General features: G+C 36.2%; 1 protein-coding gene and 1 non-coding gene across 2 annotated transcripts in view; both read right to left on the minus strand.

Annotated features, from left to right (window-relative positions):
- Positions 1–221: 221 nt before the first annotated feature.
- Positions 222–23,932, minus strand: part of EPRS1 (glutamyl-prolyl-tRNA synthetase 1) — a 77,906-nt gene continuing 54,195 nt past the window's right edge. Inside the window, exons 19-32 of the mRNA NM_004446.3 lie at positions 20,212–20,445; positions 18,764–19,026; positions 15,828–15,879; positions 14,811–15,020; positions 14,394–14,466; positions 13,000–13,079; positions 12,378–12,479; positions 11,707–11,862; positions 11,040–11,237; positions 10,168–10,341; positions 4,860–5,020; positions 3,691–3,769; positions 680–744; positions 222–578 (exon numbers count right to left, since the gene is read on the minus strand). Coding sequence (NP_004437.2) covers positions 428–578; positions 680–744; positions 3,691–3,769; positions 4,860–5,020; positions 10,168–10,341; positions 11,040–11,237; positions 11,707–11,862; positions 12,378–12,479; positions 13,000–13,079; positions 14,394–14,466; positions 14,811–15,020; positions 15,828–15,879; positions 18,764–19,026; positions 20,212–20,445 — 1,998 coding nt within the window. The 3' untranslated portion in view covers positions 222–427. The remainder of the gene's footprint in view (positions 579–679; positions 745–3,690; positions 3,770–4,859; positions 5,021–10,167; positions 10,342–11,039; positions 11,238–11,706; positions 11,863–12,377; positions 12,480–12,999; positions 13,080–14,393; positions 14,467–14,810; positions 15,021–15,827; positions 15,880–18,763; positions 19,027–20,211; positions 20,446–23,932) is intronic.
- LOC124904819 (small nucleolar RNA U13) lies at positions 19,133–19,236 on the minus strand. The gene has a single exon (XR_007067415.1). It is a non-coding gene; the product is annotated as a small nucleolar RNA U13 (small nucleolar RNA).

A 23,932-nucleotide genomic window follows, 5' to 3' on the forward strand; every position in this document is an offset into this window, starting at 1 on the left:
GATTTAGGACAATTTCAGATTCTGTATTAGGAGCTATGGAAAGAAAGTGCTTCGAGACCTATCAGTGTAGGGTATAACTGGCGGTTCAGGGTCTGAGACATGTTGGGAGTGCTTAGATCAATAACAGATATCTGGCTTTCAATTGTCTTCATCTCTTTGTAGAAATTTCCTCATAGTACATAATGCACATTTTTCAGAAACAAATGAATACAAAAACCATATTAGTTCATGATATTTATTACTGGAGTTGTTTACAGAAAAGTCTTTTATCCACTGTTAACTTAGGCATAAGAATAATTGTCCTGTGTGACTTCATTTTAGAACTTTTACTTTTTAAAAAATCATAAAACGGTCTGTATCTGAGAAGATACTAATATCAATGCTTTAAAAAGTGAGAGGAGTTGAAGAGGGGGCTTTCGTTCATCCCTCAGTAGCTGCGACCAAATAAGGTGTAGTACTTGGCAGGGTTCTTGCCACAGACACATTTGGCTCCAGGCTGCAGTTCACAGAGTGGTTTGAAGGGGATGCAAAGGCTTTTAGCTCCCATGGATGGAGCACCAGGTTCAAGATCTTGATCCCTGAAATTAATAACAAATAAGAATTCCACTCATTTATGCTGCAAATTGCTATTCCTTTCCATTGCAATTTTTCAAAAGTTTTGCCAGTTAATTAGGTTTACCTGGCAGTGGTCTTTTTGATCCAGTCCTCACAGTCAATTTCCCCACAGAATGGAATCTGAACAATCTAATTAAGAAAAGGAAAAGTAATCAGTATTTATAACTCCTTCAATTCTATTCTGCAGAAGGAACATTTGAGTTCTATATTAAACTGGCAAGCAAAAAGGATAGGTCTCCCAACCTTTTTTCAGGCTATGATACCTTTGCAAACCTACTAGGAACTTTGCTCAGTTATAAAAGATAGGAAAGAATGTTTTTCCACTATCCAAAACCTACGCTCACAGCACATCAAGACACAACAAAGACATCTTTGCAGTACCCTCAAATCTCCCATAAACTGGCTAAAACACAGTGGCTGAAAAGAAGTTGAACTCCAGTTATATCTCCCTCATTTCAAACCTGGACTACACCTGCTCTACCTATCTAAATAGTTATCAGGAGGAGAAAAGGAACATCAAAAATAGCAAACTGATTTTTAATGTGTTGTTAACAGCAACAATTAACAATCACGCAAATTTCACTTTATGCCACAATGTTCCTAACATGTTATATAGGTAAGTGGATCATTTTTAAAGTCCTAAAATCATTTTGTGTAAGGAAAAAAAAAAAAACCTTTCAATTTTTCATTCTTAGACTACATAAAACAAAGGCCGAATCAAGATACTTAGGATTTTATTTTAATTTTGAAATTTGCCATGTGTTTGAAAATCTCTAGCTCTGGGTTTTCTTTTAATAAATTGTGGATGTCAGACTAGACAAGCATTAAAAAAAAATTTTTTTTTTGAGACACAGTCTTACTCTGTCACCCAGGATGGAGTACAGTGGCACTATCTTGGCTCATTGCAACCTCTGCCTCTTGGGTTCAAGCAATTCTCGTGCCCCAGCCTCCTAGTGTAGCTGGAATTACAGGCGTGTGCCACCATGCCCAGCTAATTTGTGTAATTTTAGTAGAGACGGGGTTTCGCCATGTTGGCCAGGCTGGTCTCAAACTCCTGGCCTCAAGCAGTCCACCCACCTCGGCCTCCCAAAGTGCTGGGATTACAGGTGTGAGCCACCGGGCCCAGCCAACAAGTATTAAAATTTCTCCCAGTTGTGAATGCTAATTTTTAAAGCATGTCTACTTCAAAATGAGGTTTGTCTTCAATAACAATTATGTAGTAGCCCTATAAAATATTCCTGGAGAGTTAATGAGGGGAATAGCAAAGTTGTGAATAATCTCCACATATTAGAAATACAGTGTAAAGCAGCTGAAAATCTAGAGATCTATGAAGGTGGAGACCCAAGAGACATTGGCAGTAACAGCAACATGCTTCCAGCTTCTTCAGCAGCTTCTCATCAACTGCTCTCAGCCACAGAAAATCGTAAATAAAGTGAAAGAAAAAACACAGTGCTACAGATGGCTACCCACTGTCTAGCCTTCTATTAAAAGTAGGAAGTTTAAGGCCAGGTGCAGTGGCTCACGCCTGTAATCCCAGCACTTTGGGAGGCCACGGCAGGTGGGTCACCTGAGGTCAGAGTTTAAGACCAGCCTGGCCAAAATGGCAAAACCCCATCTCTACTAAAAATACAAAAATTAGCTGCGTGTCATGGCAGGCGCCTGTAATCCCAGCCACGTGGAAGGCTGAGGCAGGAGAATCGCTTGAACTCGGGAGGCAGAGGTTGCAGTGAGCCGAGATCACGGCACTGTACTCCAGCCTGGGCAACAAAGCAAGACCCTGTACCAAAAAAAAAAAAAAGCAGGAAGTTTGAGTCAAGTGAAAAACTACAGAAACCAGAAAGGTGAAAAATTACAAAAGCAATAACCCAATAAGGATAGAAGGCTAAACACTGAAGAATTATAGATCTAAAGAGGATTTTGATATTATCTATTTTGTACTCATTTTACAGAATAGTAAAATGAAAGCCAGAGAGATTAATTTTCCCAGCTCAAGAAATAAGAGACATATTAATACGTTATGACCATAAAAATTAAAGCTTTACATAAATTCATGCTCATTCTCAGCATGAATTTAAAACACAAAAAAAGATACAGAGGAAAATGCATTAAACCTAGTCAGAAGAGTGATCTAAATTCTGTATAGTTTGGGGTATTCATTTAAGACACTGGCCCATGGTTTTCTCACTTGTAACCTGAGGACACAGGATTGGTTGTATATTCAAACATGTATACCAGAATACTAAAGTCCATAAGTGATTCATTCCAATAATTAAATAACTTTGCAAATCTGAAATTCTTCTTTATGAAACTTTAAAGTTTCAGCTCGAAACAACTGCATATACCCAATATATAAAATCAATTAAATCTTAAAGAGCCATTAACTACCTAATTAGGAAAGCCTATGGAGTTCTAAGGAGCCAGGTAGCCCCTCATTATGAAAAACAGGCTTAGAATAAGCAACACTTTTCTTCTCATTATTCAGAAAGTTCAATCAATTGAGAGCTGAGTATGTACAGTCAGGGAATGGAAAGAAACTGACTTTTCACCTTGTTTTAGGCAGCCGCATATGACAGCTCTAAAGCTAGAACAATGGTTACTTTAGGAACTTACCAGAAACTGAAATAACACAGATTTTCAATAAAGAAAAAAGGAGACATACAGAATTAATGTTCTTTAGAAAGTAGCATATCAAACATGGGGAAAAAAAAACTTACATAATCAGTTCACAAGTATTACCCCCAAAATGGTATAATGTTGTAATGCTTTAGAAAAGCCAGTAGAAAACAAAGACTATATATATATACATATACACACACACTATATTTATATATGACATATATAAATATAAAACAAAGACTATATATTTAGATTATATATTTATATGACATATAAATGTAAAACAAAGACTATATAATTAGATTATATATTTATACGTACATATAAATGTTGAGTAATGTACTATCTTTTTATGTGATTGGCTTAAAAAGGTATTAATACCATGCATAAATTCAATGAGCCTTAAAATACAATTTACTTAAATATTCTTATACTGAAAAGTTTTCCAAACTCTCTGACCTTTCCAGAATCTAGTATCTTCTGAAAGTCTTCCATTGTATTAGCCACAACCATATGAGTCTTAAGGTCTTCAGAAGCCCTACCAAACAAAATTAGAAAACAATACATAATTGTTCTCACAAATATGACAAAGTTTTATGAAACACATAAGCACAATTTAATGAAAAGACAACCTGGGAGTGAGAAGGACTCAATTTGAATCTCAAGTCTATCACTCATAGTGACCATCAGTATATCAGAGTTACCTTATCATTGCACTATTGTGAGCCTTAAATGCATGGGAAATGTGTTAAGCACACAACAGGTGATCATAACTTTTGTTACTGCTGTTAAATCTCTAATGACCATCATTCTTTTCCTGGCATTAACACATTACCTATGGGAGTCTATGTTATTTTTTAAACCTCCCTGGTCTTAAATATTTCCAGATTCAGAGGAATATATATATATCTTTTATCAATATATAAGTGCCCTTATATAAGATGCAGGCATTACCCTCTCCCAAACTGCACCTCCATCCTCAGTGGTAGTGGGCTTTCCTCTCTGCTTTCTGCTCCAGGTAGGCAGAGAAAGAAAACAGGGTGCCACGCTAAGCCACTAATCTTCTGGTGCCTCTGCCTTGACTACCTTGAGATCTATGATTCTAAATGACTCTCTCCATAGGTGAGGGCGGCCCTAAGGCCTTCCTCTATCCCTCATTCCCAACCCCAGTCAGGAGGTTCTCAGCCTTGGCTATATTATAATCCCCTGGGGGAGCTTTTAACAGTATAGTTTCCAGGCCCTCTCCAGTCCAATTAAATTAGTATCTCTAGGAAGGCACTGGTATTTACTAAAGCTTCCCAGGTGCTGCCAATGTGTACCCAGCAGATGACAGTCAATGCCTGAAGCCCTCACATTTATATCTCATAAAAGCCTAGATTTAAATTAACCCAAATTAGTCCAGGGGACAGAAACTTCATTGTTGCAAACCTAGTAGGAAGCAGGTGGCACTTAGAAAAATAACCATAATACAAGTAAAAAACCCAGAGAGTGGCAAATTAAGTAGCATGGGGGTTCAGAGGGAGGGAACAATTGCTTCCAATTGGGGCAACCCCAAAAATTCCTTGGTAAAGATCTCAAAGGTGGTGGAAGATCTGGAGAGAGAGACATAAGCAATTTTAAGAAACTACCTTGTGAAAAGGGTGACCTGGATGTCTTCCAAAATAGCTTGAAGTTTAGTCTCTGCCTCATTTTCAGCAACTGTCAGCTTTTCTCCAGTATCTCGTCTGACGGCTACAAACTGACAGCTCTTCATATCACGTGGCCCAACTTCAAGTCTAATGGGAACTCCCTATAAGATAAAAAAGGCAGTTAAAATGATATATGAATGTCTCCAGTTGAATATACAGATGTAATTCATGGCTTTAGCTACCATAAATTATAAAAAACCCAAAAAACAAAGGCAAAGCCAAAAAAAACAAGAGAAAAAAAAAAAACAGGTAATACTGCTGAGATACTGTAGAAACCTATTCCAGTAAGAAGGCATAAACCTAAAAAAAAAATCTACTGCCCCAGAAGTTCTTCATGGAGAAACAGAGTAGTTTCTAGACCAGCATTCCCAACTTTTCTCACAAAATAGCATCCAGAAAACGTATTTGCATAGGAATGGGGTTAAACGAAGACTTTTTGAGGCTACAAGCCACTGAGGGGATCAGTAACATGACACATTTTTGACTCATTCCTGATACAGTGGTATTCTCTGGTTGAAAAGTCCTCATTCTGGGTACTCTTATCTTTAGCATGCATTATGATTATAAGGATTGTTAAAGCACAGATTTTGGGGTCCTGCCTCCAGAGTCTTTTATTAGAGTAGGTTGGGGATGCGACCTGAGAATTTGTTTTTTTTTGTTTGTTTGAAGACAGAGTCTCACTGTTGACCAGACTGGAGTGCAGTGGCATGATCTTGGCTCACTACAACCTCCGCCTCCCAAGATCAATTGATTCTCATGCCTCAGCCTCCCGAGTAGCTGGGATTACAGGCACCTACCACCATGCCTGGCTAATTTTTGTATTTTTAGTAGACATGGGGTTTCACCACATTGACCAGGCTGGTGTCGAACACCTGGCCTCAACTGATCTGCCGGCCTCAGCCTCTCAAATTGCTGGGATTATAGACGTGAGCCACCGTACTTGGCCAAGAGTTTGTATTTCTAACAAGTTTCCAAGTGATGCTGACACTGCTGGTCCTAGGACCACAGTTTAAGAACCACTCCCCTATACTCTTTGGTTTTTCCAAAGCAACTTAAGGACAGACTATATGCAAGTTTACGACTTGGGAATGTTCAATCTTGTGAATGTGTATCCCGTAAGGGGATTAAAATCCTTAAGGCTTAGGGAAAAACCACATTTTTAGGGCCCAGAACCTTATCTGATACATAGTAGATTTTAAGTAATTTTTTTGAATGAATAATCCTCTAAAATTAACTTGGGATTTTCCTGAGTTACATGCTTCCATATACAATTTAGATGACAGGTGGTCACCCCAAAAATGCCATAGGAAAAATTTTAAATATTACTCTAGAAGTCCTTATTTACCCCTAGGGAAGACTTATTTTACAAAATGATATTTAAAAAAAAACCACAATGGAACCAACTGTTGTATGCTAAATATTACATTATTTTATTGCTTTAGTTATTTATCCAATGTATTATACTGGATGTATTACATGCATTTGTAAGATACAGTGCTAAGTGCAATGAGATTTACAAGATGAATAAGAAATACATCTTGTCCTCTAGAAGCTTCATGCTTTGTAGGGTAAATAAGGCACACATATAAACAACAAAAATTAATACAGAAAGTTAGCAGTGAGAGAATATTCCTCAGCTGGAAGAGAGAAGAAAAGTTACTGGAGAAGGTAAAAATTAATAAGTAAATTATTCGTCCGAATTAAAAAACATTCTATAAAAAACTGACCTATAGTTACAAAAATGCCTATGTCATAAATGATAATGAAAGTCTGAGGAACTACTTCTGATTAAAGAAAACTAAAAGGCATGATGGCAAAATGCAATAGGACTGGATCCTACACTGAAAAAGGAGAGGGCCACTGGTAGCCCACAGCAGGGTGTCTGAGCCTCAGTTAGGCAAGAGGGCATCTGCACATGAGAACAGCTTTGCATAGAGTGACAGAGCCCACGAGGGATAAGGAGCCCATTCACGCAGAGGAGGGGGTGGCAATGGCAACGAGAGATTGGTGGCATACAGGGTGACTAATCTAATAAATTCATGTACTAAGGATAATTTGAGCTAGGCTTTTCATTGTCAGAAAAGGGAATTACAAGCACAAAATGGAGAAAAACTAGAATGCATCCTGCGGTGGTTTTTGTTGTTGTTGTTTTTCTTGAGATGGAGTTTCGCTCTTGTCACCCAGGCAGGAGTGCAATGGTGCAATCTGGGCTCACTGCAACCTCCGCCTCCCAGGTTCAAGCGATTCTCCTGCCTCAGCCTCCTGAGTAGCTGGGACTACAGGCACCCACCACAAAGCCCATCTAATTTTTCTATTTTTAGCAGAGACAGGGTTTCACCATGTTGGACAGGCTGGTGGCGAAATCCTGACCTCAGACGATCCACCTGCCTCAGCCTCCCAAGGTGCTGGGATTATAGGCATGAGCCACCACGCCAGGTCCACCCTATGGTTTTTTATTGGAATTTAAAGTATAGATATAAACTCTTGGTTTTCAACATACATAAATAGATATGGAAATATGGTGGTAAAAGTGTACACATATCTGTATGTGTGTATGGATATCTACATATATATACATATTCAGTAGCTCCATCTACTGAGAAGGCCCGGGAGAAGTGATAGCTCAAAAGCAATGAGCATACCCAGCACTAAATACCATTCTCCACTCAAAAGAACCAGAGCTTCTTAGAGATATGGCTAATTCCTGGGCCAGGGTAGAAAAAGTACAAGATAAGCCTACAACATCTTGTGCCAAGCAGCAAGGAAGTGCTTAAAGAATGATGGAGAATGCCAAAAGGACACAAAAGCCAGCTTTAAGGGATCCTAATGGTCAAGCCGAAGACACTTTGAGCATCAAAACAAATAACGTCAGTAACAGATTCTATAACCCAGTGCTTAATACTGGAAACCATGGATCCATAAAATATGAATTAGCTAATAGAAAGGCTAATAAAAAATGTGCTGTGTCAAGATCACGATAATCAAAGAAAACCTGAGAAATTACTGCAGACTGAAAGAGACTAAAGATACATAATAACTACATGCAACACATAATTCTGAACTAGGTCATTCTGCTATAAAGAAACACTAGTCAGACAGCTCCTGAAAGCTGAATGGGGGTCTAGAATTAGACTATTGTAATGTATGAACACTACTATACTAACTTGTATTGTATTATGTAGGAGAATATGTTGGTTGTACTATGTTGCTTGTGCTGTGATTATGTAGGAGAGTATGTTTGCAGGGTGATGGAGCATCAGGTTAGCATCTTATTTTCAAATGATTCAAGCAGGAAAATTTAATTATTTGTATTGGACTTGCTTTGTTATAAGTTGGTGACTGTTGCATGATAAAAAAATTTTACAACCCAGGTAGAAGAAATAGCACAAGTAAAGACACAGAGGTGGAAAAACAGGCTGTCTGTGAAGAAGAGAGAAAACGGCATATGAAAGGGGATAATGAAAAGTGAAAGTTGGAAAGGTAATCTGAAGCCAAATCATGGAGGAGGCAAATATTTTGTTGACAGTTTTTTTCTAAAACTAGTTACAAATTTAACTTTAAAAGATTCGTGTTTTGTTTCTATAGCAACACAGAATTATCTTACTCTTTCCACATAGTAAAAAGAAAAGTAGTTAATTCACTCAGATTATTTTCCCCTTTATACTTTCATAATATAGGAAGGGGTACCAAAGAAGAATTACAGGAGTTGCTGGGTTCTGGCCTCACAATCAAACAATATTATAGCTCATTTATTAATCTGAATAAGTTTCAAAATGCGCGTACACATCGCTCACACACTTTGGTCAATCGCTGTCAAATAAATATAAATCCAGATCTCCTAAAATATTTTTTCTTAGAAATTCTTTGACTAAATGGAATTAAAATGGCATTAAAAAGTATAACTAATACCTTCACTAGATAGTGAACTCTCTTTCTCAATGTTCTTTAACTTGAGGCGTCAAGTTTAGAACTTAGGTGCTTTATTTTCTTTCCTGAGGAATACAGACAACGAAGCTGTAGAAGACCCAACTCATACTAAGAATACCTCCCCAGCATAGTATAGGCTCACTAGAGTACTAAAAGAAGAGTGACAAAGACAAAGCCAAGTCAGTCTAAGGATGAGAAATGAATAAAAGAGGAAAGGGTACAAAGAATTCAGGAATGAACGTGGATGGTTTTTTCTTTTTAATCCCGCTAGTAGCCAGCAGTAAATTTCTCCTTTAACATTTTATAGCCCAGGTTAAGTAGAAATTAGTTTAGAGAAACTGCTACTGGCATCACACAATAGCTATTTATAAGTAAGCAAAAAGGAGTGCAATTAAAAAGGAAATGACATGGAAAAAAAATCATGTTTAGAAAAGCATATAAAGAAGCTGGTATATTACATAAAAGGGAAACAATTATCAATATAATTACCATTCCTCAGCACAGGAAATTTACCTCAGGGGCAATGTGAAACAAATAAGATGATAAATATTAGCAACTTTGGGAACCCTAGATGTATAAATACCTAAAAATCCCAATATTGCTGAGCTTCCATAGTTTGAAAGCATGCAGCTGCAATCTCAATACATTCTCTCATACTGTCACCTATAATATCAATTTATATAGTCTCGATTCCTAATTTCTAGATCCAGTAAGATTCCCTCTTTCAGCATAAGAAAAAAATGTTGTAAGTTTATAAATCAGAATTAAGGCCACAGATAATCTATTAATGACAATGTGCAATACATGAAAGTTATATTACAAACAATAAAGCAGAATTTAGACTGGCTTTAATAAACAAAATAAAAATCAACAAACTGGTATGAAACAATGTGGTGTGAAAACTCAAGAATAAAATTAATCTCAGATGTTTCACTATTAGCTATAACAAACACAGCTAAGTGATGTCCATGTACTGTTATTCTGGTGGTCTATGTAAATAACTTATTTATTTTATGAATTCCTGGCATAAACATTTTAGTATACTAGTTACGTGAGGGTAATCATAAACAAGCGCTCGAGATCGTTTTTATTCTAACATAATAAAAATAAGCTTCCACAAAAACTATTTTAAATTTAGGTATCACTATTGCAAAGCTATGAACTGTGTCAGTGCTCAACAGTTTAAGTGAAGAAGAAGAAAACTCACAACTATCAAAATAGAGGAAAGTAATGAGAAACCTCGTTTTATAAAAACATGCAGAGGAAAATCTAAACTCAAATTGCAGATGTTGGGGGTAAAAGATAAAGCTTAGGAATTTACCTTGAGCTCCCAGTGATTGAATTTCCAACCTGGAGAATAATTATCTCGTAAATCAGCTCTAACGCGGATGTTAACACTGAGTAATCGCCTTCGATAATCATTGCATTTTGCAATCAGCGCTTCTTTGTCTTCTTCAGAAAGTGCATTGGTAATGCCACAAGGAATAATCACCACCTAGAATCAGCACAATGTCCCAAATGTATGCAAAGAAACAGATATAGAAGTAATGAGCTCTCAGAAGTCGAAACCTACCAGTGGCTATATTATTAACACGAATCAGCTGTGTGATTTCTAATCTTATATATAATGTCTACTAATTACCTGCAAATCACTTACCCGTGCTAAATGCATTTTCATCTGACCCACTATATTTCACTTAATCTATTTTTCATATGTGTGTGTATATATATATATATATATTTTTTTTTCCCCCCCAGCCTCCCAAGTAGCTGGGACTATCAGTGCATGCCACCACACCTGGCTAATTTTTTGTAGACTAGATTTTGCCATGTTGCCCAGGCTTAGTCTCAAACTCCTGGGCTCAAGCAATCTGCCCGCCTTGGCGTCCCACAGTGCTGGGATTACAGGCGTGAGCCTGCATGCCCAGCTCATTTAACATACTATAAACCGTTTTTAAAAAATGACTTCTAAAAATGTTTATATAAGTAGCTTAAAAATTAAAAGAGTAAGAAACAATAAATAAATAATACACACAGTCACAAAACACTAGGGTCCAGACTGCATTCCACGTTGTTTTTATTATCAGAGAAATCTGCCTGAATGATATTCAGAAAATCACCCTTTCAAATTTCCTTTAGTAAATATGGCTTGTATTTTATAAAATGAGTGATAAACAGGAATATTTTCCTTACCTGAACACATGCTACACGGGGTGGTAATACTAAACCCATGTTGTCCCCATGAACCATGGTCATAACACCAATAGTTCGAGTTGTCAGGCCCCAGGAGTTTTGATAGGCAAATTGCTTCTCTCCTGGTATCTTTGGATCTTCAAAAACGATTTCAAACATTTTGGAAAAATTCTGCCCTAAATGATGTGATGTTCCTCCCTAAAATAGAGAGAGAAAAATAAGCTTCATTTTTAATAACCTATTATGCCCTTGAAAATGATTACTATAAGATCACATGCTTTAAAATGGCACTACACTTTTTTTCTCCCTTTTTTTACATTAAATAAGGTTTTTAATTATAAGCATAATTACCATAATAAGAGATTAAGATTAGTCAAAAAATACTATTTACAAGCATTTTGCTCTGGGCAGCCCCTTTTATAGCAGTAATTTTACCTACAACAGTTAAAAAGGAATTCATATTTTAGTAGTAATTCAGGATACATACTATGACTTAACGAACCATGGAGACAGAGGAATGGGATAGATTTGTTTGAAATTATTATACGAAAGTACATGAAACACTTATTTTTTAAGAGTCTACTTCTGTGATGACAGAAGAAATTATTGGATCTGTCCATGGACTGTGCTTACAGTGACCTACGAATCCTGTGTGGCAGTTTGATACCTGGATAGCTCTTCCACTAGCAGATATAAATGCTTCTATTGTAGTTGTATAGTCTCCTCCTGCAAATTTTTCCTTTTCCGTCTTTCTTCCTTTAACAACAGGAATTGCCAGGAGTTCTTCATATACCTGAGCATATAAGTCAAGTATCTGCAAGACCTGTAACATTTTAAATGTAAATGTGTTCAAATTTAGGGTACATTTATTCATTAAGATCTATAAAACTGCACTACTTAAGACTAATTGTGTGGGAAAAGCAATCTGAACAATAAAAACCTCTTTTTATGAAAAGGTTAAAGCAGCCAGTGTGAACTTATTAAGAAAGATATTCAATGAAGCAATGTAAAAAGAAGTCAAATAACTTTTTAAAATGTATATATGTTTAGAATATAAGAGAAAATAAATGTTAAGAAAGATATACAGTATCAAAATGCAAATTTCCTGAAAAATAATTTTTTCTACACATTAAAGTCCAGAAGTATTTTCACCTAAAAATTTAAAAGAGCCTATTTCCTTAATAATAACATTCCAATAAGCAGTTACTTAAATCCATGAACATTTGAATTAATTTGATTTTGCTTTTAACAGGTGTTACATACATTTTAAATAACAAAATTGCAGAACCTGAACAAAAATAATGGAACATAGTTAATATGGAAAATAACTTTTTATACCTCTTCCGCTGCCTCTTCCATGGTAGCAAAAGCACTGTGCCCTTCCTGCCAAAGAAATTCACGAGTACGTAGGAAAGGCTGAGGATGCTTGAATTCCCAACGCTGGAAGAGGCAAGAAAACAATTTAGTCATTATAAAGAGCTTTTCAATTTTTTTTTTTTGGAGACAGGGTCTTGCTCTGTCCCCCAGGCTGGAGTGCAGTGGTGCAATCATGACTCACTGAAACCTCTGCCTCCCAGGCTCAAATGATCCTTCTACCTTAGCCTCCCAAGTAGCTGGGCTACAGGTGCACGCCAATGCAGCTGGCTAATTTTTGCATTTTTAGTAGAGATGTGGTTTTGCCATGTTGCCCAGGCTGGTCTCAAAATCCTGGGCTCAAGTGATCTGTCGGCTCGACCTCCCAAAGTGCTGGGATTATAAGCATGAGCTGCCACGCCCAGCCACTTTCCAATTTTTATTACCATTTTATATAATAAGTAATCAAAAATTACAATTTATCTTAAATACTTCAAAAACAGTTCCATACTCCCAATCCTTTGAAAATAAAAACAAAATGTGCTTTAAAAAAAAAAAAAAAAAGAACATGAATAATAATAGAATACAAGAGGGGGTGAATACCTACCACCACATTGCACCACTGATTGAGCTTGATGGGCAGGTCTCTGTGTGACTGTACCCATTTTGCATATGCAGGATACATTACTGAAAGACACGGGAAAATAGAGACAGTCATTTAAGGCTTTATTTCTCCTTTAGGGATGTAACAGCTAAACCAGCAAGATAATTAATAGGAATTAAAATGTAATAAATAAATTTGAAAAATAAAATGTATGTTTGTGTAAATATATTTCCAATGTTTATAATAAGTGAATAGTATTATCTATTTCATGAAGTGTATTACTCAAGGATACAAATCTAAACTTGATCATATTTTACATTCTTCACAGATTTTACATTCTTCACATAACAGTTAATGTACTTCGACGGTTTTCACATTTTGTTTTTAAAAACACAAATAAAGGTCATGTTCTATGTTAAGTTCTCTGCATTCATTGACCTGTTCAATTCTCACATTCAACCCACAAGAAGGTATCATAACTCAGTTTTAAAGACGTGGAAAGCTGAGTTTATAGAAGCTAAACAATTTGCTGAATCCAGCAGTTATGTATGAGAAGCAGAATTAATTTATATCTGATGCATCTACTCAGAGTATGAAAGCTCTTGCAATGAAGTGCAAAGTGAAGATACCTGTCTTAGAATAGCCTGCTCATGATCTATAATTAGTAAACCAAAACAAACAAAACTTTGCCAAATAGTCTGAGAGAAAAAAACTGGTATCACAATATTAATAATGTATTATACAAAAGTATCACTAGAAATATCAATAAGAACAGACAATCCTGAACTCTACAGATGAATGATCACTTTGAAAGACACTGTAAAGCCCAAAACCTCAAATTTTCCAACAGCATTTCCATTTACCATACGTAATTTCAGAAAAATCATTTAATCTTTCAGAGACTTTTCTTTACCTGCAAAATGGAAATCACAGTAACTTTCCCTGCCTTCCTCACAACACTGTTGTAAGAATAACACGAGATGACGTAAAAGTACTTAGCAACCTATGAACACCCTACATGAATGCAAACCTAAATGTATTATTAAAATTTAAAAATAATTATGGCATAAAAATTGCATTTGCAATATTATAATCAATTCCAACAATAAAAATTATTCTAAGAATAAAACTCCTTGAAAAGTCCTAAAAATTTACAGCATAAAAATGAGTATTTAAATTAAAAATCCTATAATTTAATGATAAGGAGCTCTACAATGAATATTAGAGAATAAAACTCTAGACAACTTAAGTTTGCATTCAATCTTCATCAACATTCATGAAATGTTATATCGTCAACAGAGATTATAGCTATCACAAAGCAAAAGCTGAGACTCAACTTTAGAGGCTGTCTCTAACGTTCAGTGAGCATTCTCTTGCACTCCAATGCCTATTCTCACCTGTTTCACTAGTAGGACGAATGGCAATTGGTTCTGCCAGCTCGGTTTTGCCAGATCTTGTAACCCAAGCAACCTAGTAAGAAAAAATCATTTTTCATACTTTTTTTTCAATAGCATTTTGGAGCAACAGTACAAATGCAGGCAAATTTCCTCTGTTTTAATTTTTGCTATATCAATTTAGGCAAGTTAAAATAGTCGCTGCTGTTCACTGTGAGGAAAGGTACGCACTTACTGACCTTCTAAATATTAAAAGTCAGTTAATTAATGTAACAAAATCATTACTTGCTATAAAGGTAGAAACAGAACTTTTTAATAAAAATGGCTTTATATTTTTCAAAATTGGTTGTTAAAAGTTGAAAATATATTTTCCAGTTTGTCAGAGAACATTGCAAAAAATAAAAAAGCAAGCTCACTTACCTCTGGGGCAAAGTCAGCAACATGAGTCTTCTCTTTCTCTAATGCACTTTGAGACACAAACATGGGGAAGTAGCAGTTTTCAACACCAAGTTTCTTGATCTCAGCATCAAAAAAGTCCTTGATGGCTTCCCAAATGGCATAGGCCCAGGGACGAAGAATATAACAGCCACTTATGTCATGGTATTCAATCATTTCTGACTTTGTGATGACCTTTTTAAAAGAAAAATAGTCTTTAAAGCTTACATTGAACCAAAATTCTAGTATAAGTGGCAAGAGTATGATAACCAAAATTCAAATCTGGAGGCTTCTACTGTTGATAACATCCCCTTAATGTGGGAGGTCATAATGGAAGTAAAACAGACCTGACTATACTGAAAAACAACATATAACAGGGTTCCAAACTCTCCATAAAACTTGAATTCCACCGGGCATTGTGGCTTAGGCCTGCAATCCCAGGACTTTGGGACGCCGAGGTGGGTGGATTGCTTGAGGTCAGGAGTTCGAGACCAGCCTGACCAATATGGTGAAACCCAGTCTCTACTAAAACTACAAAAATTAGCCGGGCGTGGTAGCGTGTGCCTGTAGTCCCAGGTACTCGGGAGGCTGAGGCAGGAGAATTGCTTGAACCCAGGAGGCGGAGGTTGCAGTGAGCCAAGATCGCACCACTGCACACCAGCCTAGGCAACAGACTGATACTCCCGTCTCAAAAAAAAAAAAAAAAAACTTGAATTCCAATCCTGCCTCTGCTATTGACTATATCTTTGTGGCTTTGAATTAATCCCTTTATCTCACCTAAAAAAAAAAAATCAATCACTATCTCATGGTACTGCTTTTCAATTCAAGACTTTATGTTAACATGTTGAAAAATAATGTCATGTTAAATGACTACACTGTGTATTATTAAAGGCATTATACAACATTATTACTATTGCCTTTGTGCCCATATTTTAGAATCTGAACATAAAAAGCAGCCATTGACAGACTTAAAACATAAAAATCAACTGAATGCATACTCACCTGAGAATACCAATCAGCAAGATTTTCTTCTTTTTTTGCCTCAAGACCCAACCTGCAGATGTGAAAAGTAAAAGATAAATATCTTCATTCAGCAACTGCTTTAGGTTGAATAAAAATAAACCTCTAAAGTTCAAAATAGATTAGTCTTTCTTCAGTATGAGTTATTTCTGTATTTGTAACTCTTCTATATTCATTCCCAAGATAACGTTGTTGTTTTCTTGTTTTGTTTTTGAGACAGGGTCTTACTCTGTCACCCAGGCTGGAGCGCAATGGTGTGATCCTGTCTCACTGCAACCTCGGACTCCTCAGCTCAAGAGATTCTCTCACCTCAGCCTCCCCAGTAGCTAGGACTACAGGTGCATACAACATCTGGCTTATTTTTTTATTTTTATTTTTTGGTAGAGGCAGGGTCTCGCTATGTTGCCCAGGCCAGTCTTGAACTCCTGGCCTCATGCAATCCTCCTGTTCTGGCCTCCCAGAGTGCTGGGATTACAGGCATGAGCCACCATGCCTAGCCCCTAAGATAATGTTTTTAACCTAAAAAAACAGTAGAAATGCTGGGCACAGTGGCTCACGCCTGTAATCCCACCACTTTAGGAGGCCAAGGCAGGCAGATCACCTGAGGTCAGGAGTTTGAGACCAGCCTGACCAACATGGAGAAACCCTGTCTCTACTAAAAACAAAATGAGCCAGGCGTGGTGGCGCATGCTTGTAATCCCAGCTACTCGGGAGGCTGAGGCAGGAGAATGAATCGCTTGAACCTGGGAGGTAAAGGCTGCAGTGAGCCGAGATTGCGCCATTGCACTCCAGCCTGGGCAACAAAAGTGAAACTCCGTCTCAAAAGAAAAAAAAAAAAAAAAGAAAGAAACAAAAACAGCAGAGACATCTCTTAAAAAGTTGAGAGATATTGTCCACAAAATCTAGGAAAGCCAAATGTAACAAAAGCTATGATTCTATGCAGACATCTCTTTTACAAGGTTCTTTTTAAGGCAATGTATTTGTAATAGAGACACAGCCTGTTCACACCTATTCTCCCACTAAAAAAGAAGAATCTTATGCCAGTTAAAATTATAGTAAGATCACTGTTTCACTGAAAGTAACACCTAAAAAGTAATAAAAACAATGGCTATAAATACACACACATATGTGTGTGTACTGATGTGTGCATATTAGCCAAATTTATGTAAGTTTTTCTTTTTCTTTTTTTGAAACAGTCTCACCCCATCGCCCAGGCTGGAGTGCACTGGTGCAATCTAGACTCACTGCAACCTCCACCTCCCAGGTTTAAGCGATTCTCGTGCCTCAGCCCCCCTCCCCCACCCAAGTAGCTGGGATTACAGGTGTGTGCCACCATTCCTGGTTAATTTTTTTGTATTTTTAGTAGAGGCGGAGCTTTGACATGTTGGCCAGGCTGGTCTCAAACTCCTGACCTCAAGCGATCCACCCATCCCAGCCTCCCAAAGTGCTGGCATTACAGGTGTGAACCACCACGCCTGGCCTCAAGTTTTTCTTTTAACTAGAATAAAAGTTGCAGAGATAGATGCTTGTAAAATAAACTAGGTCTCCAATAAAAAAACTATTTCAGACAATAATCATTTTCTTGAAATATCAACAATTATTCAGGATAGAGATGGTCTCTTTTTGGAGTTTAAAAACAAGGTTTTACTGGCTAAAAATTTTAATGTATTTGCATTTGCATTCTCCATTGTTTCACTATGACATACCTCAACAAAATAACTCTGTGAAACCTAGCACTTTCACAGGCACTAAGAAAGTAAAAGGTGAGAAGTTCTACATTCTCTTCTACCCTGCTATAACTCTGGTTATTCAGTTTAATAGTCAAAAGGAAAAATAACTGTTGCATTCTCTTGTTTAAAGAGACATTGTGTATATGACATGAGAGCTAAGAGGCAGCAAAATTTGATACTCAGCTAAACAAATGTAAAACCAAAGTATCTCAGTAACAGCTTTTTCTTCTTATTAAGTAAGCCATTAAGGGAAACCCATCACAAAGTTCACTGTAATTGTGGAAACAGATAAAAAATTACAATTATGCGTCACTTAATGACATGAATACATTTTCAGAAATACGCTGTTAGGTGATTTCATCATTGTGCAAACATCATAGCTTGTACTTACACAAACCTAGATGATATACATATATTTTTATATGGAAAACCAAATATCCCAGCAACATTACTGAATATCAATAATTTCCCCCACTTGATCTGCGATGCCAATATCAAGTGCCATATATCAGGTTTCCATACATGCTCCATTATAATCTTATGGACCAATGTCATATATGTAGTCCACTGTTGACTGACACATCATTATGTGGTGTATGACCGTACATTATTTATACAGATTGGAAGATCCTTAAAGAGCCCTCTATCCAACCATTTTGTCTTTAGTCAGTTTTGTCTTATATTTAAACTATCAATTTTTAAATTGAGAATGAAGCTCTCACTTAGTCCCCACAAAAGATCTTCATCTGAAAAAAATCTGCTTAAGGTGCAAAACAATGTGTATAATTAGGCTACCAATCATGTTTAAAAAGGAGGAGAGAAAATATGTATGTGTGTGTGTGTGTGTGTGTGTATCTGTATTTACTTGAATAATAAATGAAAATCGCTCAACAGATACAGAAGAAACTGTTAACAGTGGCTACTGACTGATTACGGTGGTGGGGAAAACCGGAAAGATGGGAAACATGCACAGGAACTTCTTACATTCTGAGATTCTTGAACCAAACAAACGTGTTACCTATTTTTAAAACTAAATGGAAAATCAATAAATGCTATCTGCTGACATTGTAGCTTTAGCGTTCTCTAACTTAATGTGATGGTTAAACCAGTCAAAATTTGTTTTAAAAACTATTAAGAATTGAATTAATTCACTGCTTTGCTTCAAATGAAGTTTCTGCGATTCATTACCTGGTCTGTTTCTTAGGCCCCTGCCCTTCTCCTGCTCCACTTGATGAGAGCCCACCTCCTTGGTTTTTAGAAGGGTCTTTCCTTTGGCCATCATTTTGTTTCTGAGGCTTATTCTGCTTTTCAGATTTATTTTCTTTTTCTTTCTTCTTCTTATCTTTGTCCTCAGCTCCAGTGGCCGACACAGGCTTATACTCTACTCCTATCAAAGACTTGTACTGTGCCTTTAGCTGAAGGAGTTCTTGAACAGCTATATCTACTTGATCCTTTAGTTTAACAAAAGAGGAAAAAGAGAAGACAGTATTTAACTCAAGTCATTGTCTAAGCACACTTAAACAAATACAATGCTCAAAGCTTTCTTTTTTCCGCCAATATCACACGGGGAATGTGCCCAGGTGGTGATAAGGTTTGAGGGAGGCATATCTCACATATGAGTGTGAAAACCCAACCATCACACTTAGGAACTACAAAAGGATCTGTCCAAAGTTTAAAAGTAGATCTGCAAACACAATTAAAGACAGGGGTTTGGGGACAGAGGGGTTTGGGGTAGGTGTTACACCAACTATTGAAATTATAAAGATTATGATAAACAGGGATAGAATTGTGCAAAACTGTGACTGGAAAACAGCACAGTCTATAACTGCATTATCCAAATAGTAGTCATGTGGCTGAATTTAATTTAAAGTAAATAAAATTAAAAATTCACTTCCTCAGTCACCACAATCACATTTCAAATGCTCAATAGCCACATGTGGCTAATGACTACTGTATTAGACAATATTGTTATAGCATATTTCCATCACTGCAGAAAGTTCTACTAGAAAGCACTGGTATCTAACATGTATTCCATAGGAATCTAAGTTAAGAGCCATTAAATTACATAAGTTGAACATTTCACAATTATAAAGATGAGATAATGGTTATCAAGTTCTAATAAAGTTAAATTTCAAAACTACAACTGTCTTCCACTCATGTGAATCTGTACAGAAAAACCTACTCCTAAAAAGATAACAGAATTCACACTTAAAGAACTAGCACAAACTACTAAGAGCTCAAAATAAAACCTACTATTTCAGTTTGACAGAGCTTTAGGAGAAAGAATGAAAAACAAGGTAAATATTAAGGGCCTTCAATGGGGTGAGCACTGTGCTAGGGTCTAGGTCACTATTCTGGATCTTACAGGTTGGAGGGAAACAAACAATTTAACAATTAAAATACAGTCTGTTTAAGTACTATGTCAGTGATGGGCGGTGTCATATGAAAACATCCAATCAAATCTAGTTGGCGTAAGAAACAATCAACAAAGTTTCTCTAAAAGGCAAGGTAAGAGAATTAAGAACTGAAATATGAGTAGAAGTTAGCCAGATTTGATGGGGCACAAAACACTTGAGGCAAAGACAATACCCTGAAACATAAAAAACAAAAGCATATAAACAAAATAACACACTAACCTTAGGGGCTTTTTCAGTTTTAAGTTTCCGAACTACTTCCCCTTGAGAAGCTACTTTGTCAAAAAGTACTTTCGCTTCTGGTGTTTCTAAACCAGCAGGTTCAGAATTTCTGGTTGGGCTTGAATCCGAACTTTGAGATAATGGGGGCTGACCAGGTATGTACTCCTTCCCAGTTTTTTCTTTATACTGAGCCTTCAGGGACAGTAAGCATTCTACAGCTTCATTTATTTTAGCCTAAAATAAAAGAGAGAAAGAGATATTTATAAAACTTTGGAAATTTCTGGAAATTTCAATGCCATTTAAAAATCTTTAATTATCAGCAAATCATTCCCATAAGTTAATCATGGGGAAACCTATGTTAAATCATCAGCCTACAATAAGTGATAAAGCTAAATTAAAAACATAAATTATATATAAGCTGAATAAACAAAAATACAATTCAACATACAACAGTGTAACTTTCTATTTTACTTAAGTAAACAGACAAATAATAGAACATCTAAGTAAACTGTCAGTGTCAAGACCTAGGTCTATAAATAGTGAAGTCAGAATTTACAAAATCAGAACAAAGATCAGATCAATGGCTTTGCCTATACAAACCTTACTTTCCACAGCTTATTAAACAGAAATTAAATACAACTTTGGGGAAAAAAAGGAAGTTTGGGTCCAACTAATGAATAGTTATATCAATTTTAAAAACTGACAATGAGATGAGAAAGCATGTTGAAGTTTTTAGACACTTACCTATATATTTTAATCTGATACTTCAACATAATAATAAAAAAGAATGATATACTCAGCCCCACCGAGACACTTGTGACTCTCTAGCAGAGAATGATAGCAACACAGGCAAAGGGCCCAAGCTGGACACCTTACCTGAAATGGTGCTACTATCTCACCACAAACCAGTGTACCACTGGGAACTTGGAGGTATCAATCAAAATAGATAGGAAAAGTGTCTCCAAATCACCCTATCCAATTTTTACTGCTACATTCGAATAATGCTCCAGATAGCTAAATGAAACCAGGCAGAAGCCATGAAGAATACTCAAATGGGCATCAGAGGAATGCAGGATACCAATGGTATACCTTCACAAAATTTGCATCTATGAGGCAGCAAAGCACATTTCCTTGTCCAGCTACTTTATAACGTTTTCTGCCTATTAGAGTGTCATACCAGGTACCACACAAAGGTAGTAAAATTAAGAGAAAATGTACAAAGAGAAGATGAGAGTAGATTGTCTGATTTGTACTCCTGTTGTGTCTCTTGTTTATTCTGTTTTTAGGAAAGAGTTTTCACAGCAGAAACTACTTTATCTCAAGAAAAACGGCCAAGTTAATCAGACATATGAGAATCAAGGGGGGAAAAAAGGGAAATTTCCACCAGCTAAAATAAAAATGGAAAAGAAGGAACTTCCCTGCAACTATTTCTAGAAAAATGACTATTTGATGACTATTTGAAAGAAGCTCCATTTTACACTATAAGCAGGTATTCATTAGAGCTTAAAGTCAGATGGCACACTTTTCACACGGAAAAAAAAAAAAAAAACCCCGTTCGCCAAGATTATAATTTGAAACGTTATAAAGGAGAAAATTAAGGTGAGCAAACCACTCTGTTATTCAATGAGATACTCTTAATAAAGCTATGTATTCATATATTTCCCCTCCCATTAGGAAATGGAATATTCTAGATAACTAAGTAAATTACTCAGGTTATTCTTCCAAAAAGAGTAAAATTATACTAATCACCACTATGCAATCTTCCCTGATGATTTAGAAGGTACCTAAAGATTCTTGAGAGAATTTGAATTATAATATGAAAAGTATCATTATCATTTTATGGTATATTTAGTCTGTGCCAGACACTACACTAAGTGCTTTACGTGGTATCTTATTTAACTCTCAAAACAACCCTTAGAGAAGTTGTCAAGTTTAGAAAGATTAAGTTCCTTCCCCAGAGTTACACAATAAGTAGTAGAGCTAGTATTTGAATCCCGAGTTTATTCCAGAGGCTGTGATCTTGACCACTACGGTTTGCTAAGGATTACAGAAAACAAAGATCTAAATGTGCATTTTAATCCTAGTAACATGCTAGGAAAACTGCTTTTCGAAAGAGATGTTTGACTATTACTTTGAATTTATCTCTTAGAATACACAATGAAGAACAAATGGATGGAGAACAAATTATCTCTTAATATACTAGTTTTCTGGATCAAAAGGCATTTACAAAGAGGAATTGGGTGGTATACTATGATTTAGTACAATATCATACAACAGCAGAAGCTGAGAGAGCATTGCTAGTAGATTTTAAGTTGTTAGTGGACAAAGACTGTTTTAAACTTACCTAACATATACCAATACAAACAGAAAAGGTTTTCAGCAAATAATTGCTGATGTGGATTAATGAGAAAAGAAACAACCTATACAAAAGACTTTGGTAAAGGTTTAAGATGGGAATTGGAAATAAGTAAAAGTGATGCTAATGTTATGACTAAAAACTGGAAAGTTAAATAAAATGGAGAAAATGGACAATTTTTTTTTATTACATTCTGATTACATTCAGAATGAGTACTCAAACAGCTATTTTTTCAGCAGCCACTAGATGGAAACATTTCTCCATGGGGAAAGGAGTGACCTTAAAAAAAAAAAAAAAAAAAAACCTGGAACATTATCCATTTGAAATACTAGAACCTTTCAAAATAGCCTGGATATCTCGATTCTAAATGAAAAAACTTTTTTCAAAAAATACTTTTTTCAAACTTGTTTTTTCCAATTTTATTACCACTCACCTTTGCTCCTTACTAGCATATCTAAGAGAACTATATCTACACACGTTGGTAATGATGACTCCTGAAAGCAGAGATTCTCACTTGGTTGGGAGGGGGATGAATGAAAGGTAATCAGAACAGAAAATCCTTCCAACTGAGTGAGGGAAGAGAGTGATGATGCTTGTATTATATTTTTTAAAGTCTGCTAGGAGACTAAGTAAACTAGAAGTTCACAGGTTGCAAAGAGAGGCATTTTAAGAAAATAATTAACCAGTTGTGCATAGCTTAAATACCTACACCTGTAAGGAATAACCGATTACTGAAACCTGATTCTAGGAGCCAATACAGCACAGGGTAGAGCCGAGATCCTGACATCAAACCTAAATTAGAACACAACACCTGTTCTCCTGCTTATCAACTGGGCTGATTCGTTTACCTAAATCACAATTTACCTGCTATTTTTCTCTGATACAAATCAATTAACACAAATTCTGAAGATTTTCCAGAAGATCCCCAAGCTGATGTAAGTCTTGTGAAGTATCCTGAACCATAATCTGATGTAAGATGTATTTATATTTGTTTAGATCAAAATCAATTTTGCATTAAGTACTAAATAGATATAGCTGGAATTCACTACACACATCCCAAATAAGAATTACAAACAACATCAAGAAAAAGATAGGCTTTTTTCTTGTTTCCTTCCCTGCAACATTTATCTTTTGGCCTGAGACATCTTAAAGCTATCTGGGGTGAGAGTGCAGGGTGGCGGCTTCCTAGAACAACCTGCTTAATGGACAAAAGGGTACAGGGATGTATGTCCTTTCCTGATAAACTGTGGTTTGGGTTTTAAAAAACAATAACATTGGTGTAAAAAATAAAAGAGCAAAGATTGGCAAGATGAATTATTGGGGACATAAAATACAAGGTGCCGTGAATTAAAATGCTGCAACTAC

The sequence above is a fragment of the Homo sapiens genome, chromosome 1 (genome assembly GCF_000001405.40).
Source record: "Homo sapiens chromosome 1, GRCh38.p14 Primary Assembly".
Taxonomy (NCBI): domain Eukaryota; kingdom Metazoa; phylum Chordata; class Mammalia; order Primates; family Hominidae; genus Homo; species Homo sapiens.